We start from the raw sequence: 18696 nt of genomic DNA on the forward strand, positions 1-18696 counted from the left end.
GTATTTCTCTTGTTTGTGTGTTTTTTCCCACTGGAGAGTAGCTCCAGGAAAGCAGGTTCTCTTGTCTGCTTTTTTTACTGCTATATTCTCAGGGCCTGACACATAGAAGAAACTCAAGTATTTGTTGGTTGAATGCACAAGCTAACAGAGGTTCATTTTTCTCATGGAACAAGAATATGGAAGCAGGTGGGCCTCAGTGTGGTTGAGAGGCTCATCATGCCTTCAGAGAGCCAAGGCTCTTTCCACCTTTTCCCTCTGCCAACCTCAGTGTGTTGTGATGTCTCTTTTCATGGTCTCAAGATGGCTGAAGTTGCTCAAACCCTGTCCCCCCTCCATAACTTATCACAGGAAGAAAGGGTGAAGCTCTCCTAGTGCATCTCTCACTGATCATCAGGAAAGTCTTTGCCAGAAGTTCAGCAGTCTCCCCAAAACTGGTCATAACTGGGTTAGACATCCATCCGCAAACCAGCAGTTGGCCAAAAAAAGTGAGATTCCCCTGACTGGAAAAGCTGTCATGTTCCTCTCTTGGGGCTGACACACGGCCACCTCGGAGCTGGACAAAATCAGAGTTGTGTTGGTTTTTAAAAGAAGGCAGGGGTGGGGAAGGCTCACCCACAGCAGGTTTCTACACAAGATGGGCACGGCTTCTGGAGGATGTTAACAGCCCCCCTTGAATCATGACTCAGAGGTATGCCTATCTTTTGTACCCCAAAAGTCAGAGGACCAGGGTTGCACTGTGATTTTTGTAAGATGGACGGAACCCTGCAGCAGCCCGTCTGTCCCAGTGATTAGTCACATCACCATCCATTTCCCCATCCCCATCCCTCCCTCTGCCAGCCCAACATGCTCCCAGAGTGTGAGAAGAGCCAGCCTCTGCTTCACTGCCGCATTCTATTCCACCAGAAAAGGACACCTCCCTTTGCATGGCCCATTGCCTCAAGACCCAAGAAAGAGTCTCACTACTTTTGAATCAAAGGCTTTATCTTTAAGAAAGCAGATTTAGAGAATCAGAATTTTCTTCCATTTTGGTTCTATTAAGAAAAGTATACCAAATTAAAAATTAAGAACTATTTTTTAATAGATAATACATGTACATGGTACAAAATTCAAAAGGTACAAAAGGTGTACATTGAAAAGTCATTCCCACCCCTCTTCCCAGAGGCAATTCAGGCTGCCGGGCTGCTAGATATCCTCCCAGAGACATCCTAGGCATATGCAGGTGGACATATGATATACACGTGTATACGTCTGTGTGAAAACATATGCACACACATACATCTACACACTTTCTCCATTCCAAACATTAGGATACCATGGGCTTTTTTCCTCACTTAATCATGCATCTTGGGGCCCATTCTATGGTAGTACACACACACAGGATCCATTGTTTTAAATTTCTACAAACTATTCCATTGTTTAAGCTGGCCATAATGTATTTAACCATTCCCCTGTATTGGTGGCACTCTCCAACTTTTTGCTATTACAATGTTTCAACAAAAACTCTTGTACACAAGTACCTTGTACACAGGTACAATTCTTAGGAGTAGCATTGCTAGTTCAAAGAGCTTATGCATTTGCACTTTTGATAGACACCGTCCAGCTGTCCCCCATGGAGTGCCTACATGTCACACTCCTGCCACCACCGTATCTAGTGCTGCCACCCACAGCCTTGCACTGTGGTCCCACTTCTTGGTTCACATGGCTGAGACATTTCTGCCCATCAAGTTACCTTTAGGTTCATGACACATTTTGAGCCAAAACATACCTTATCTCTAACATTAGTGTAGTTCTTCCCTCTCTTTTTCCCTTCTTAGGGAATAAAAAAAAAAATCTGTAAAAGGCAATTCCTTTGAAAGATTCAAAACCTCTGACACCTTGTTTCATCTCAAACTTCAAGGTTACAGTATAACATACTCTGAGAGAGACCCTCTAAAGTTGTGAAAACTGTTCTCAAACTAAGCATCAAGTAGAGGAAAGGTTCAATCTAAATTTTCCTAATAGAGATGCAAAGTTGCAATGTGGAAAAGCCATTTTATCCAACCGGAATTTCCCAGTCAGTCATCTACCTTGAGCTAGATGCTGGGGAGAGTGTGGTAAGACAAGCCCTTACTTTTGTTGCGCAGGGCCACTGGACATGGGCAGGCAATGGGGACGGATGTAAGGCTGGCGTGGAACATCCACGGTATTCCCTGTGTTGTCAAGTATGCTGCAGATCAGCACCAGATTCTCCAGTTTTGCACATTTATTGAGAAGAGGGAATACTATTATAGCATTACCTTTTACAATGCATCTTCAGCCTGTAATAGAAGGAATGCTCTGGACTTCATGAAAAGGATCAAGAGAGGGCCTGGGGGATTCTGAAGATGCACAGAACAAGGCACTTTCCTTGGCAATCCCAACCATGGGGACAGATGATGGCATCCATCCTATGGGGCTCTTTATTGTACTGTTCTGCATTAAGATGTTCTTTTACTTTGAGGCCAACACCAGCCATGAGTAAATCATAAAGTGCTTCCTTAAAGTGTTCTTCCTCAATGCATGTTTCAACATCTGCACTTCAGAACAAGTGGTCAGGCTCAAAGTAACTGTGCTACTGCTAGATACCTACCTCCCTTTTAGGGTGATCAGTCACCTACAGAGTGGGCAAACAAGACCATATGAGGCAGCAGAAATATGAGGGCACAGGTTAGAGCCAGGGCTCACTGTCCGGAGTGCCCTTTCAGGCAGGTCTGCTTCGGTCACTAGAGACGTACTGGGGCCTGACAACATCAACAACGTCACAACCCTGAGGTCTGAGGTCCCGGGCATGGCACTTTGTGAGGTAGTAAAAGGACTGTCTGAAGGTCTTCTCCAGCCTCTGCTCAAGGTTTCAGGAGGTCCCGAGGGCTCGGTATTGTCAGAGAATGCTTCCCATGCCTGGACCCTGGACCTTCTGGTTGTGCTGATGGACTCAGCGGACACTGGCAGGACCCAGCTATCCTGAAAATATTAAGGGCTACGAGCTAGAACCATTAAAACCATGAACTTCGGACTCTAACAGAGATATGCTTGACAAACTGGGAATTTGCCCTCTGTTAAAACAACCCTCAGTGTGACTCTGACGACTGTTTAACATTCTGTACCTCCCTCTAGTGGTGTTAGCTAACCCAGTCATCCAACAGAGACGGAGCACAGGTCAAAGACATCAACAAATGTCCTAGCATCTCCCCACGCACCTCGTGATCACGCAATCTTGTCCTGCTCACAACAGCTCTGATCGCGGCTTAAAGCAGAGCAGTCCCATGTACTCCATAAGAAGCAAGAAGTGGGAGGGAGCCCCCAACCCAGAGGCTGGCGGAGATTCCACAGCACTGGGCAGCCTGCCCGCTAGCAACTCCCTGTGCTGATTGAGCAGGGAGCCTCTCTCTCCTGGGGAAACCTGGTTCCTCCTGAAGCGCATATTTTGAAAAAGTAACTTAAGGATGTTCTTGCTTCCTTTTAACTCCGGAGAAGCCTGTGGGCTTAGAGCACAATTCCATACTATGTCTGTCTAAGCACACAGAGCCATAGCCCTGGGAAGATGACCCCTTCTGGTGCTCCAGGTGGCTTCTGAAATGATCAGGGGCCTTGGGGCATCTCCTTACCCTATACGGCTTCACCAAAAAGTCATGTAACATCCTAATTACTCAGAAAGGCACTGTCCACACTGAGAGTTGTCTGCAGCAAGTGTGAAATTTGAGCTCAAACTGGCTTCTGTAGTCTAATTCAAAGTGTATTCAGGCAACAAAAACTGATTTATCCGTAGTAGGCCTTGTCGATAAAAAAAAAAAGGGAATAGAGATCTATGGACACCTCTCTATACCAAAACCAAACCAAATGAAACTCCTATGAAATACAGCTCAAAATAAATGCCTGCACTTTCAAAAAGAATTACTGGTTGCTTTGGATTCATCATGCCATACTTTCCCCATCAGCACAGAGGTGGACTCCAGTAACCCCAGAATGTCATCTGCCTCCCTACCACCTTTGGACAAATATTCAAATAACTGCCCCAACTGCTCACAAAGTTCAGTTAGCCAGGGGTGGGCCTACAAGCTGCTTAACAAGACAACGCAGATGTTTCCCTGACTGAAATAATTTCAAACGCAGTCAAACTTCTGTCTCCTTCCCCTGCCCTCAGAGTGCCACCTGTTCTTTTGCAATTACTTGCTTCAACTTAGCCCTTCAAAACCCCCACATGACCACGGCTCAGGGACCAGCTGAGGTGGAGCTGCACATGACCCAAGAAGCGCTCGCAGGTGGCAGTTTCTATTTGCAAGCTGCTGCTTCCGCCTGGCTCAGGTAGGCCTTGCTGGCCCTGGCACTGAAACCAGTGGCTGTTTTTAATCCAGCACGTGTGTGTGTTTTTAAATCTGTACACATCAGCCCTGCTTAATCACATCCATTAGGGACTAAAAATGAACACATTTCTGTGGCTGCTGAATGCCCCACTTGCTTGACATGTTTAAGCTTTTGTGTTACTGTGCAAACCTGCCACCTGGTATGTTTGCAAGATTTATGCAAAATGGAGCACAAACCTACAGAACATGACTGAGTTACCAGACTCCTGAGGACCAGGGCAGCAGGAGCTCCATGTTTGATCTGCACTGGTCATTTCCAAGGATTAAAATCAACCCTCAGCTGCCCTTCAAGGCCCTCCAAAGCCTAGTCTCAGCCCTACTTCCCAGACGGGTCTCTGAAGCCTCCTGCAGAGACTAGCTTATTCCCTCCTTTCCCAACATGCATGCCTTGTACTCCTCTGCACTCTCTTGGGTTTTTAATCATAGTGTATTTTCATTTAAAACAGTCTTCCTATCAACATCCGATTCTCCCTTTAGATAGGGCTCAAATGCTGCCTCCTCCAGGAAGTTTCCCTGGATCTCTGCAAACCCTACTGCTCTTCCTCCTGACACCCTACTTGCCTTGAGTGCAGGGAACAGTGTCTATCTCTCTCCTGGCTCAGACCATGACCCATCTGCAGCGTAGCCTCATCAAATGTGCCTTCAATGAGGGGGATGCACAGCCCCTCTGCATGCTGTGACTCACATGAACATTGGGGCAGGGGAAGGTATAATTTTTATTGACGTGTCCTCAGCACAAGGTCTGTTTTCAATTTTCTGAGAAATCAACTTGAGTAACGTATAAAAATTAAAACAACACTGAACTTTCGTTCCAGTTGCTGTCACCACCAAGCCTGCTGGCTGGCACCTGGAGGAGCTGGGAACAAAAGGTACCATGGCAGGTGAAAGGCCCAAGTGACCAACACTACATGGGCTGATCATTTCAGCTAAATGCCTTCTGTTTACTGAAAAACATCTTGGATAGCCCAGTTCTGCGGTCAAGTGTGCTGTATCTGCCTCCCTGGGCCACCTGCTGGGTACTTGTGCAGTAGGAACTGTGTTTTACACGTCTCTGAATCTTCCTCAGTGCTTATTTCTCAGTGGTTGCTGAACTAATACTTGCTAAACAAATGAATTCTTCTTTATTCAGAGTCCATACAAATACAGGTACCTTCATAAGCGCAATGTTACTGGAGACATAAAAGTTGAATCAACAGAGAACAAGTACTCCCTATATTCTTCATAGGATGATGGGTGTTATCCAAGCCACGTGTTTACTGTCTGACTCCATCAACAGCAGCCAACAGAGATGAATGGAAGCAAAGAGGAGAAAGAAAACATCCAGGTTGTTGAAATCATCACAACTGCATCTCTCTACTGTCGCTTTCAGAACCATTTCATGATCTTGTAGGTGATATACGGTGCTTAAAAGTAAAATCAATGACATACAGCCACGGCTGGGGATGTTCAGGAGGCCTTCGCTTTCACCTTGGACAGCAGCATCTCGTTCTTGCGGCCCTCCTGGAGGGAAAGCAGAGAGTATAGAGAGAGTGGTGACTACATTAGCACCCATGTGAGGCCAAGATGGTCTCAAAGCCCTTCCCATATCCCTATGGGAGACATCTCCTGGCCAACCCAGTCTCTTGGCATGCTGCCGCCAGGATGGTGAAGCTTCCTGATGACCTACTGACATCAACACCAATATAACTATAATGATGCTCCATTTCTGGGCTGTCAGACTGAAAATAGGATGAGAGGATAGGCACTGTCATTCCAAAAGACTTCATGAAGTCTGTGAAACTTCAAGGGGATAGAAGCAGAAAGCACACTTATCTGCCAGTCTTGGCCTACTATGGTGAGGGAGTGGGGAAAGGCTTTGGAGACAGCAGCCTAAAAAGAGATAAAAGGGAGCCCTAGTTTACATAGCAGGCAAAACACATAGAGTTCTAACAGTGAAAGTTAAGAATATTCTTGTCTTTAAGAAACTCAGAAAATAGGATAAGAGATATTCATCAAGAGATAATGGGGCCGGGCGCAGTGGCTCATGCCTGTAATCCCAGCACTTTGGGAGGCCGAGGCAGGCGGATCATGAGGTCAGGAGAGTGAGACCATCCTGGCTACTACTAAACCCCGTCTCTACTAAAAATATAAATTAGCCAGGCGTGGTGGCAGGCGCCTGTAGTCCCAGCTACTCAGGAGGCTGAGGCAGGACAATGGCATGAACCCAGGAGGCGGAGCTTGCAGTGAGCCGAGATTGTGCCACTGCACTCCAGCCTGGGTGACAGAGCAAGGCTCTGTCTCAAAAAAAAAAAAAAAAAAAGATAACCTGCCCTTCCTTAAAACCGAACTGTATGAAATCAATGGCACGTGCTACGGGTTATCACTGAGGGAGGTCACTGTCCCATCCTCTGCCTGTAGAATCTGACATCCAGTGGCACAAGTCACCTCTGCATCATTTCATGTTCCCTCTGGGATCATCTTCAAAAGCTTCTAACTGCGCCTCCTGCCCTTGTTCCACTGGCCTTAGTAGCTCATGATACCTCCATCTGCTAGCAAACCTCCAATAACTCTGACCCCATTCTCTGGGCAGGGTCACAAGGAGTCCTGCTTTTAAATTGGGAGATAAAAGTGGTAGCAGAAAGGGCCCGGAGAGGTAGAGCTCACAGGCTTGGCAGTGGTCAGGCCTCCAGGGGCTGTGTTTTCCTGGAGGTGCATTTATTGTGGGAGAAAAACTTTTACCCTTGAACCTTCTGCACTCAAAACCCCCACGGTCAATTTTTCCAGCTCCCTGGGCCAGGGTCAGGTGCTCCCAGCTCTCTGGAGGCCCTGATCTTTTGGCAGTGTGATGGCAGCATGACCACAACGACCTTGGTTTTGCTAAGACTAGTGCTGGCTCATCTACAGGATTCAGATGTGTCCTTCACTCAGGGAGCAAGGAAACAGGTGGGTGCTTGTCTTGGTGGTAAGGCTGAATACTTTGAGGCTGTCAGAAGCAAGGTGCTCTGACACTTTTGAGCACCTTTTTGGGGAGAGAGGGGCAGTTCATGGGCAGGGCAGTGGGGGGACAGAAATAAGGTGATGCTGGGTTCCTTTTAAAAATGGCTTGAGATGTACTTGGGGGGAAAAAAGACTCCAGCTTAAAACAAATGGAGTGGAAGAGATGGAACAAGAACAGAGAGCTACACTATTATATTGTTATACTACACTCTCTACTTGTATATTTTTTAAGATTTCCATAACAAAAATATGAAACAGTAAATAAGTTTAAACTGTCACCCACCTCACCGTTTAAATGAGGCAAAAACAGCATCAGAACTCTACCGTGGGGAACTGTGTGTGTCACAGAACCCTAGGCGATGCTTGTACTTTTCGGTAGAGACAGCCTGCAATGTCACCTAGTATGTGAGCCTACAGAATCATATTCTCCGTCTCTTCAAAGCAAATACAAAAGAGGCGCTTTGGGTGTTTGTTTCTAGAAGAAAAGGGAAAATGTCTCATCACCTCAGTCTCTTTCCTGCTGAAAACTCTATCCATGCCCACTAGGTGCCAGACAGAGAGCTAAGTTCACTCAAGGTTATGTACCGAAAGCCAGCTTCACAAAAATGTAGGGTTTGAATTCATCAGTGCTATTGAATTTAAATCTTAGTATCATGACCTGATGGCGCCCACGGTGCATAACTGTTGCCCATTTAACGTGGGGTAAATCAAACCCAACAAAGGCAACCGCTAAGGTGGCAAAAAACCATATGGTAGACAACAATGTTGTGTTTTCCATGAAGAATAATTATTGCACACTACAAGTGCTTGGGCCCAGGATGCAGTGAGAATTCAGAACGCAGAAGTAGAGGGCCAGTGAGGGGATGGTGAGAAGGCAAAATAGAGGGTGCTGGAGAAGGCTCCACCCTGGATGAAAGTACAAATTAAACTGTAATATATAAAACAGAAAAGCAGCAGAACTAGTCTGGCTGAAGATATGGGGTAGAGGCTGTGGAGTAGCAAGCAAGTCCCTATCGTCACCTCCTCCTCAACACCTGTGGTGGCCCCAAATTACCTCAAAAGAGCTTGTGGGAGAAAGATGCTGGAACACTGACATGTGGGTGCCAGTTTTAAATTTTTGCCAAGTAATATGTTCAAAAAAAAAAAAGGACTACCCACCATCACAATTATTTTCTAAGACAATTTTAACACCAAAAAATAAAAGGACATGCTAAATGTGAGGTGAAATATATTTAAATGAAATATGCAGGATTTTCAGGGGGTGGAACCAAGATGGCCGAATAGGAACAGCTCCAGTCTACAGCTCCCAGTGTAAGCGAGGCAGAAGACGGGTGATGTCTGCATTTCCAACTGAGGTACCGGGTTCACCTCACTGGGGAGTGTCAGAAAGTGGGTGCAAGACAGCGCGTGCAGTGCACTCAGCGTTAGCCGAGGCAGGGTGAGGCATCGCCTCACCCAGGAAGCACAAGGGGTCAGGGAATTCCCTTTCCTAGTCAAAGAAAGGGGTGACAGATGGCACCTGGAAAATTGGGTCACTCCCACCCTAATACTGTGCTTTTCCAACGGTCTTAGCAAATGGCACACCAGCAGATTATATCCCGCGCCTGCCTCAGAGGATCCTACGCCCATGGAGCTTCACTCATTGCTACCACAGCAGTCTGAGATCAAACTGCAAGGCGGCAGTGAGGCTGGGGGAGGGGCACCCGCCATTTCTGAGGCTTGAGTAGGTAAACAAAGCAGCCGAGAAGCTCAAACTGGGTGGAGCTCACCGCAGCACAAGGAGGCCTGCCTGCCTGCCTGCCTGCCTGCCTCTATAGAGTCCACCTCTGGGGGCAGGCATAGCCAAACAAAAGGCAGCAGAATCCTCTGCAGACTTAAAAGTCCCTGTCTGACAGCTTAGAAGAGAATAGTGTTTCTCCCAGCACGCAGCTGGAGATCTGAGAATGGGCAGACTGCTTCCTCATGTGGTCCCTGACCCCCGAGTAGCCAAACTGGGAGGCACACCCCAGTAGGGGCACATTGACACATCACACAGCTGGGTACTCCTCTGAGACAAAACTTCCAGAGGAATGATCAGGCAACAACATTTGCTGTTCACCAATATCCGCTGTTCTGCAGCCTCTGCTGCTGATACCAAGGTAAACAAGGTCTGGAGTGGACCTCCAGCAAACTCCAACAGACCTGCAGCTGAGGGTCCTGTCTGTTAGAAGGAAAACTAACAAACAGAAAGGACATCCACACCAAAACCCCATCTGTACATCACCATCATCAAAGACCAAAGGTAGATAAAACCACAAAGATGGGGAAAAACCAGAGCAGAAAAACTGGAAACTGTAAAAATCAGAGTGCCTCTCCTCCTCCAAAGGAACGCAGCTCCTCACCAGCAATGGAACAAAGCTGGACAGAGAATGACTTTGATGAGTTGAGAGAAGAACGCTTCAGACGATCAAACTACTCTGAGCTAAAGGAGGAAGTTCGAACCCATGGCAAAGAAGTTAAAAACCTTGAAAAAAAATTAGACAAATGGCTAACTAGAATAACCAATGCAGAGAAGTCCTTAAAGGACGTGATGGAGCTGAAAACCATGGCATGAGAACTACATGATGAATGCACAAGCCTCAGTAGCCGATTTGATCAACTGGAAGAAAGGGTATCAGTGATGGAAGATCAAATGAATAAAATCAAGCGAGAAGAGGGGTTTGGAGAAAAAAGAATAAAAAGAAATGACCAAAGTCTCCAAGAAATATGGGACTATGTGAAAAGACCAAATCTACATCTGATTGGTGTACCTGAAAGTGATGGGGAGAATGGAACCAAGTTGGAAAACACTCTGCAGGATAATATCCAGGAGAACTTCCTCAATCTAGCAAGGCAGGCCAACATTCAAATTTAGGAAATACAGAGAATGCCACAAAGATACTCCTCTAGAAGAGCAACTCCAAGACACATAATTGTCAGATTCACCAAAGTTGAAATGGAAAAAATGTTAAGGGCAGACAGAGAGAAAGCTCAGGTTACCCACAAAGGGAAGCCCATCAGACTAACAGCTGATCTCCTGGCAGAAACTCTACAAGCCAGAAGAGAGTGGGGGCCAATATTCAACATTCCTAAAGAAAAGAATTTTCAACCCAGAATTTCATATCCAGCCAAACTAAGCTTCATAAGTGAAGGAGAAATAAAATACAGAAAAACAAATGCTGAGAGATTTTGTCACCACCAGGCCTGCCCTAAAAGAGCTCCTGAAGGAAGCACTAAACATGGAAAGAAACAACTGGTACCAGCCACTGCAAAAACATGCCAAATTGTAAAGACCATTGAGGCTAGGAAGAAACTGCATCAACTAATGAGCAAAATAACCAGCTACCATCATAATGACAGGATCAAATTCACACATAACAATATTAACCTTAAATGTAAATGGGCTAAATGCTTCAATTAAAAGACACAGACTGGCAAACTGGATAAAGAGTCAAGACCCATCAGTGTGCTGTATTTAGGAAACCCATCTCATATGCAGAGACACACATAGGCTCAAAATAAAGGGATGGAGGAAGATCTACCAAGCAAATGGAAAACAAAAAAAGGCAGGGGTTGCAATCCTAGTCTCTGATAAAACAGACTTTAAACCGACAAAGATCAAAAGACACAAAGAAGGCTATTACATAATGGTAAAGGGATCAATTCAACAAGAAGAGCTAACTATCCTGAATATATATGCACCCAATACAGGAGCACCCAGATTCATAAAGCAAGTCCTTAGAGACCTACAAAGAGACTTAGACTACCACACAATAATAATGGGAGACTTTAACACCCCACTGTCAACATTAGATCAACAAGACAGAAAGATAACAAGGATATCCAGGAATTGAACTCAGCTCTGCACCAAGCAGACCTAATAGACATCTACAGAACTCTCCACCCCAAATCAACAGAATATACATTCTTCTCAGCACCACACCACACCTATTCCAAAATTGACCACATAGATGGAAGTAAAGCACTCCTCAGCAAATGTAAAACAACAGAAATTATAACAAACTGTCTCTCAGACCACAGTGCAATCAAACTAGAACTCAGGATTAAGAACCTCACTCAAAACCACTCAACTACATGGAAACTGAACAACCTGCTCCTGAATGACTACAGGGTACATAACGACATGAAGGTAGAGATAAAGATGTTCTTTGAAACCAACGAGAACAAAGACACAACATACCAGAATCTCTGGGACACATTCAAAGCAGTGTGTAGAGGGAAATTTATAGCACTAAATGCCCACAAGAGAAAGCAGGAAAGATCTAAAATTGACACCCTAACATCACAATGAAAAGAACTAGAGAAGCAAGAGCAAACACATTCAAAAGCTAGCAGAAGGCAAGAAATAACTAAGATCAGAGCAGAACTGAAGGAAATAGAGACATAAAAAACCCTTCAAAAAATCAATGAATCCAGGAGCTGGTTTTTTGAAAAGATCAACAAAATTGATAGACTGCTAGCAAGACTAATAAAGAAGAAAAGAGAGAAGAATCAAATAGACGCAATAAAAAATAATAAAGGGGATATCACCACCAATACCACAGAAATACAAACTACCATCAGAGAATACTATAAACACCTCTACGCAAATAAACTAGAAAATCTAGAAGAAATGGATAAATTCCTGGACACATACACCCTCCCAAGACTAAACGAGGAAGAAGTTGAATTTCTGAATATACCAATAACAGGCTCTGAAATTGAGGCAATAATTAATAGCTTACCAACCAAAAAAAGTCCAGGACCAGATGGATTCACAGCCAAATTCTACCAGAGGTACAAGGAGGAGCTGGTACCATTCCTTCTGAAACTATTCCAATCAATAGAAAAATAGAGAATCCTCCCTAACTCATTTTATGAGGCCAGCATCATCCTGATACCAAAGCCTGGCAGAGACACAACCAAAAAAGAGAATTTTAGACCAATATCCCTGATGAACATTGATGCAAAAATCCTCAATAAAATACTGGCAAACCGAATCCAGCAGCACATCAAAAAGCTTATCCACCATGATCAAGTGGGCTTCATCCCTGGGATGCAAGGCTGGTACAACATATGCAAATCAATAAACATAATCCAGCATATAAACAGAACCAAAGACAAAAACCACATGATTATCTCAATAGATGCAGAAAAGGCCTTTGACAAAACTCAACAACACTTCATGCTAAAAACTCTCAATAAACTAGGTATTGATGGGATATATCTCAAAATAATAAGAGCTATCTATGACAAACCCACAGTCAATATCATACTGAATGGGCAAAAACTGGAAGCATTCCCTTTGAAAACTGGCACAAGACAGGGATTCCCTCTCTCACCACTCCTATTCAACATAGTGTTGGAAGTTCTGGTCAGGGCAATCAAGCAGGAGAAGGAAATAAAGGGTATTCAATTAGGAAAAGAAGAAGTCAAATTGTCCCTGTTTGGAGATGACATGATTGTATATCTAGAAAACCCCACTGTCTCAGCCCAAAATCTCCTTAAGCTGATAGATTCAGCAAAGTCTCAGGATACAAAATCAGTGTGCAAAAATCACAAGCATTCTTATACACCAATAACAGACAGAGAGCCAAATCATGAGTGAACTCCCACTCACAACTGCTTCAAAGAGAATAAAATATCTAGGAATCCAAATTACAAGGGACATGAAGGACCTCTTCAAGAACTACAAACCACTGCTCGATGAAATAAAATAGGATACAAACAAATGGAAGAACATTCCATTCTTATGGGTAGGAAGAATCAATATCGTGAAAATGGCCATACTGCCCAAGGTAATTTATAGATTCAATGCCATCCCCATCAAGCTACCAATGACTTTCTTCACAGAATTGGAAAAAACTACTTTAAAGTTCATATGGAACCAAAAAACAGCCCCCAATGCCAAGTCAATCCTAAGCCAAAAGAACAAAGCTGGAGGCATCATGCTACCTGACTTCAAACTATACTACAAGGCTACAGTAACCAAAACAGCATGGTACTGGTACCAAAACAGAGATATAGACCAATGGAACAGAACAGAGCCCTCAGAAATAATGCCGCACATCTACAACCATCTGATCTTTGACAAACCTGACAAAAACAAGAAATGGGGAAAGGATTCCCTATTTAATAAATGGTGCTGGGAAAACTGGCTAGCCATTATGTAGAAAGCTGAAACTGGATCCCTTCGTTACACCTTATACAAAAATTAATTCAAGACGGATTAAAGACTTAAATGTGAGACCTAAAACCATAAAAACCCTAGAAGAAAACCTAGGCAACACCATTCAGGACATAGGCATGGGCAAGGACTTCATGTCTAACACACCAACAGCAATGGCAACAAAAGCCAAAATTGACAAGTGGGATCTCATTAAACTAAAGAGCTTCTGCACAGCAAAATAAACTACCATAGGAGTGAACAGGCAACCTAAAGAATGGGAGAAAATTTTTGCAATCTACTCATCTGACAAAGGGCTAATATCCAGAATCTACAATGAACTCAAAACAAATTCACAAGAAAAAAAACAACCCCATCAAAAAGGGGGCAAAGGACATGAACAGACACTTCTCAAAAGAAGACATTTATGCAGCCAAAAGACACATGAAAAAGTGCTCATCATCACTGGCCATCAGAGAAATGCAAATCAAAACCACAATGAGATACCATCTCACACCAGTTAGAATGGCAATCATTAAAAAGTCAGGAAATAACAGGTGCTGGAGAGTATGTGGAGAAATAGGAACACTTTTACACTGTTGGTGGGACTGTAAACTAGTTCAACCATTGTGGAAGTCAGTGTGGCGATTCCTCAGGCATCTAGAACTAGAAATACCATTTGACCCAGCCATCCCATTACTGGGTACATACCCAAAGGATTATAAATCATGCTGCAATAAAGACACATGCACACGTATGTTTATTGCAGCACTATTCCCAATAGCAAATACTTGGAACCAAGCCAAATGTCCAACAATGATAGACTGGATTAAGAAAATGTGGCACATATACACCACGGAATACTATGCAGCCATAAAAAAGGATGAGTTCATGTCCTTTGTAGGGACATGGATGAAGCTGGAAACCATCATTCTCAGCAAACTATTGCAAGGACAAAAAACTAAACACCACATGTTTTCACTCATAGTTGGGAATTGAACAATGAAAACACATGGACACAGGAAGGGGAACATCACACACCAGGGCCTGTTGTGGGGTGGGGGGAGGTGGGAGGGATAGCATTAGAAGATATACCTAATGTTAAATGACGAGTTAATGGGTGCAGCACACCAACATGGCACATGTACATATATGTAACTAACCTGCACGTTGTGCACATGTACCCTAAAACTTAAAGTATAATAAAAAAAAGAAATATGCAAAAACATATTTCATCCCCTCCCCCTCTTCTGACTTGCTTTGGACTGAAGGAAAGAGGCCTGGCAAGAATCTGGTCTAGGTGTCTTAGCTGGATCTGAAGGAACCACCCTCTGTGTCTGGTGTGACAATGACTGCCAGCACAGGTGGGAACCCAGACCCAAGCCACTTAACACCTCTGAAGGAACTGGTGCCTTGGAGGTCATCCTAAGCTCTCATCTGAGAGCCTGCAGGGCAAGAATGAGCTTTTCCATTTCATTTTCAATTGCTTTGACAGCTTATACTTATCCTCCTCAACTTGCTTTTTGTTTCTACACTGTCAAAAGGGTGTCTCCAAGCAGCATTTGAGATGCAGTTCTTCTCCTTTTGTTAGTTTTGATTAAAGGGAACGAGGAGCTCTGAGTAGGGCAGCAAATTCCTAATTGTTCCCTGCCAGTTCACTCACTGGCCCTTCTGGGACCTCAGCTGCAGCCTGTGCTAGCCTCAAAGGAGTCCCAGACTGAGCCGCAGACCCTCCGCTCCCCATTCCTGCACTGCTGTGGCTGAAGAACTCTTTCTTCCGATGGCTAGGTCCTGCTCACCCTAGAGGGCCCTCCTAGACCACACTACCTAAACCAGTCTCCTCACATGGCAAAGTCTGGAATTGTTACTACTTATTTGTTATGACTTGTTCTTAGCTTGCCATCCGTCTCTCCCACCACAGCGTATGCTCCTTAAGGAGGAGGAGGTCTGCGTTACAACCTGGCATCTGCCCAGGGGTATAGTAGGAGCTGGAACACTGGAAAAGATGAGATTTTGAAATGCCTATGGGATGTGGCTTCTAGAAGTTAAATCACAGATAAGGAAATATGTAGAAGACAAGGGAAAGATGAGGAAGGAAGAAAAGTCTTAAATTAAGAACAAAATTATGAGCATGGAAAGACTACATTTTTTATTCTGCAGACCAAACACCAGGATACAATCTACCTTTAACTCTGCTGTATTTTCAGCAGTCTCTAAACTCACTGAAACCACATGGATTTAGGTTAGGGAGAAGGAATTCCTTAAAATAAAGCTGCTGAGACCCTAGCAAGGGACCAAATGAAGTCTTTTTGGAAAATCTCTTAAGGGCAGGCACTTTTCTTTCTGGAACAATGAAGAGTAACTGCCCAAATGCAGGAAGGAAAAACAGGGAAAACCGAAATTCAGTTGAGTGTTGGGTGTTAGGAGGTGCCAGGCCTGGTGCTGGATGTTTCAAATTTCTCACCTGACGCAACGGAATTCACCAATGAGGAAACTGAGGCTGGGAGGGATTAGGTCATTGCCAAAAAACACAGCTGGTAAGTGGTAAATGTAGGATTCGAATCCAAGCCTGTGACACTTCAAAGTTCTCTCTTCCCACACAGCTTCTTGAGGTCCCTCCCCACCCTAAGATTGGCAGGAAAGAAGATTCTATATCTGAATCCACAACAAATGCTGTTTCCAAGTGGCCCTTGATACGGACTGATGGAGTCATTTTGTGAGTTAATGTGCTTACTAAGTGTTAGGAAAACTAAAGTGATGTGATGTCTTAAAACATTTAATTAGACCTCAAGATGGGCCACAGAAAAACGCAATCTTCAGCTACCTAGACGCCACACTTCACTGCCAGATCACACTCTGTCTTGTTATTTCCCTTCACAGACCAGAGGAAAACCAAAAAACTGCTGTTTTTTAGTGGCTACTTTTGAGGTGAACATATATCTCACGTTAGCCTTAATGTGCTACCCAGCCTTCCTCTTACCTCCTTGAACTCTTTCACAGTCTTAAAGTATAGCCTCTGCTTTTCTAACAGCTCCAAGTACTGGTCGTTCAACTGGTCTCTTCTCATTTTGTTCTCTTGCTTTTTCTTTTCCATCTGTTGAAACATTGTGGGAAATGGTGATGAAAAGACATGTTCTGCCCAAGGGCTACTGGCAACATCCAAAAGGCAACAGTTGTTAACAGTTTCATGGATTTCCTTACAGTAGAGGAAGCTTCAATATATAATTTTTGAGGTTGGTTAATTTATTTGCATATTACATGGAGGCTCTACAATTTATTCAGCAATTTTTCTATCACTGAGTATTAACTGTTTCCATTTTTTTTTCTCACTACAATTTCACAATGGACAGGTTGGTGATTCTCAACTAGGAGCTATTTTGCCCCCCATCCCCCACCCGGCAGTGTCTGGAGACAGTTTTGATTGTCACAACTGCGAGAAGTGGGTGCTACTGGAATCACTGGGTAGAGGCCAGCAATGCTGCTAAACATCCTACATTGCACAGGACACCCCCACAGCAAAGAATTATCTAGCCCGAAATGTTAACTGTGCTGAGGCTGAGAAACCCTGATTTAAAAACTGTGCTCATATAATAAAACCGTGTATCCTCTTTTGATTTAATGTAAGTATTTCCATGTCATTATAAATTTTCTACAAATTATCATTTTAAAAACAATACAATATTCCTGCTGATTGCTAACTTACCCATCTTCCTGCTGGTAGACAATTTAGGATATTTTCAGGATTTTGATCTCATAAATAGATGCTAGGCTTTGATTTAAAGAGACTTTTCTAAGGTATCCAAAAGCTTATTCATTCAACAAACATTGACTTAGAACCTACTGAGTAGCTACGTGTAGTGGTGAACATGGCAAAGTCACTGCTCTCACAGAGCATACATTCTAGAGATTCACATTAAGCAAGCACCCTGACAAACAGACACACAAAATATTCGCAACACTGATCGGTCCTGTGAGGAAAATGACACGGGGGGAGGTGACGGAGAGGAGGGTGGGTGCATGGCCTCCTCAGCCTGGAAGCTCAGAGAGGCTCTCTGAGGACACTAGAGCAGGGCTGGCAATGCTATGTGCTGTATGTCTGGAAGGTAAACCCAGAGAATCAGCCAGGAAATGAGGGCAGTAAGAGTTACGGTACAGACCGGGTGCCTGACTCATGGCCGGTGCTCAAAAGCTTGTTGAATCAAATTCTGAGAGATGCTTTGCTGTGGCTTTGCTGATGCCTGACCATGATTTCTGTGTTACACTTTGGGAGGGATTTGGTAAACACAAGCTATAGGTAAAATTGACTGCATTTTATTCAGTAGTTCCCTCCACACTATAGGCTTCTGTTGACTACACAGGACAAATGCAACTTGGTGTCCCCAAGGCCTATCCCAATGCTGTTCAGAGAAAGACCCACCACATATGGGGACTGATTTGCCTAGTCAAATCCTGACCTTGCATTCAGTTCCTGAGTCCCAAGACCCTGTGCCCTGCTCTTTCCACAGGTCTGCATACGGATGCCTGGTGCACACCCATGCTAGGTCTCCAGTTTGGTGCCCTCCCTTGTGCCTAGGTCTCCCAGAGTGGCCAGTCCCCTCTGGGGTGTCCTACCACACTTGGAGCCCTGGCTCAGCAGCAAGTCCTGATCCCTGTCGATGGAACCCCTAATGCTGCCTGCATGGGTCTCTGACACCCACTCATGATCCTGTCACAGTGACACACCAGCCCACCGCAGTTCCCACTACTGTTCCTTCGTGGGCTCCAACTCTCAAAGCAGCAGACATCTTTTCTGCTGCACTGGCTAGGACCTCACAGCTAGGTCCCTCTCTCTTATTAGGACAGCCAGCAGCTCTATCTCAGGCCTTTCCTCTCTGCTCTGCACTTTAGCAAAACACTTCACCGTGACTGATTATGTCCTAGTGAGGTAGCAATGCGCTTGAATTATGAATTTATCCAGGATCCACTGTGGGAGTTAGTGTGGCAACCTAGAAATAGTATGAGCTTGAGGCCAGAAAGGCTGGGTTCAAATCCTAGTTCTGCCACTCACTGTGTATCCTTGGACAGCTAATTTAACTTTTTTGAATGCTACGTCCTTTAGCTAAAATAAGAATATCACCTAGATAACCAGTTTTGTTACAAGAAGCTTGGGACATGAAA

General features: G+C 44.3%; 1 protein-coding gene and 1 long non-coding RNA gene across 5 annotated transcripts in view; one reads left to right on the forward strand and one right to left on the reverse strand.

The window, feature by feature from the left end:
* Positions 1 to 963: 963 nt before the first annotated feature.
* The window catches only part of CCDC93 (CCC complex scaffolding subunit CCDC93), a 98590-nt gene continuing 80857 nt past the window's right edge, over positions 964 to 18696 (reverse strand). For all 4 annotated transcript variants that reach the window (XM_011511359.2, NM_019044.5, XM_011511361.1 and 1 more), the window contains 2 exons: positions 16520 to 16633; positions 964 to 5879 (listed from right to left, as the gene is read on the reverse strand). In XM_011511359.2, coding sequence (XP_011509661.2) covers positions 5826 to 5879; positions 16520 to 16633 — 168 coding nt within the window. In that variant the 3' untranslated portion in view covers positions 964 to 5825. The remainder of the gene's footprint in view (positions 5880 to 16519; positions 16634 to 18696) is intronic.
* On the forward strand, positions 7212 to 17153 carry LOC101929908 (uncharacterized). The gene is made up of 3 exons (XR_923242.4): positions 7212 to 7301; positions 16668 to 16772; positions 16890 to 17153. It is a non-coding gene; the product is annotated as an uncharacterized LOC101929908 (long non-coding RNA).

This window comes from Homo sapiens, chromosome 2 (assembly GCF_000001405.40).
Source record: "Homo sapiens chromosome 2, GRCh38.p14 Primary Assembly".
In the NCBI taxonomy this organism is placed as follows: domain Eukaryota; kingdom Metazoa; phylum Chordata; class Mammalia; order Primates; family Hominidae; genus Homo; species Homo sapiens.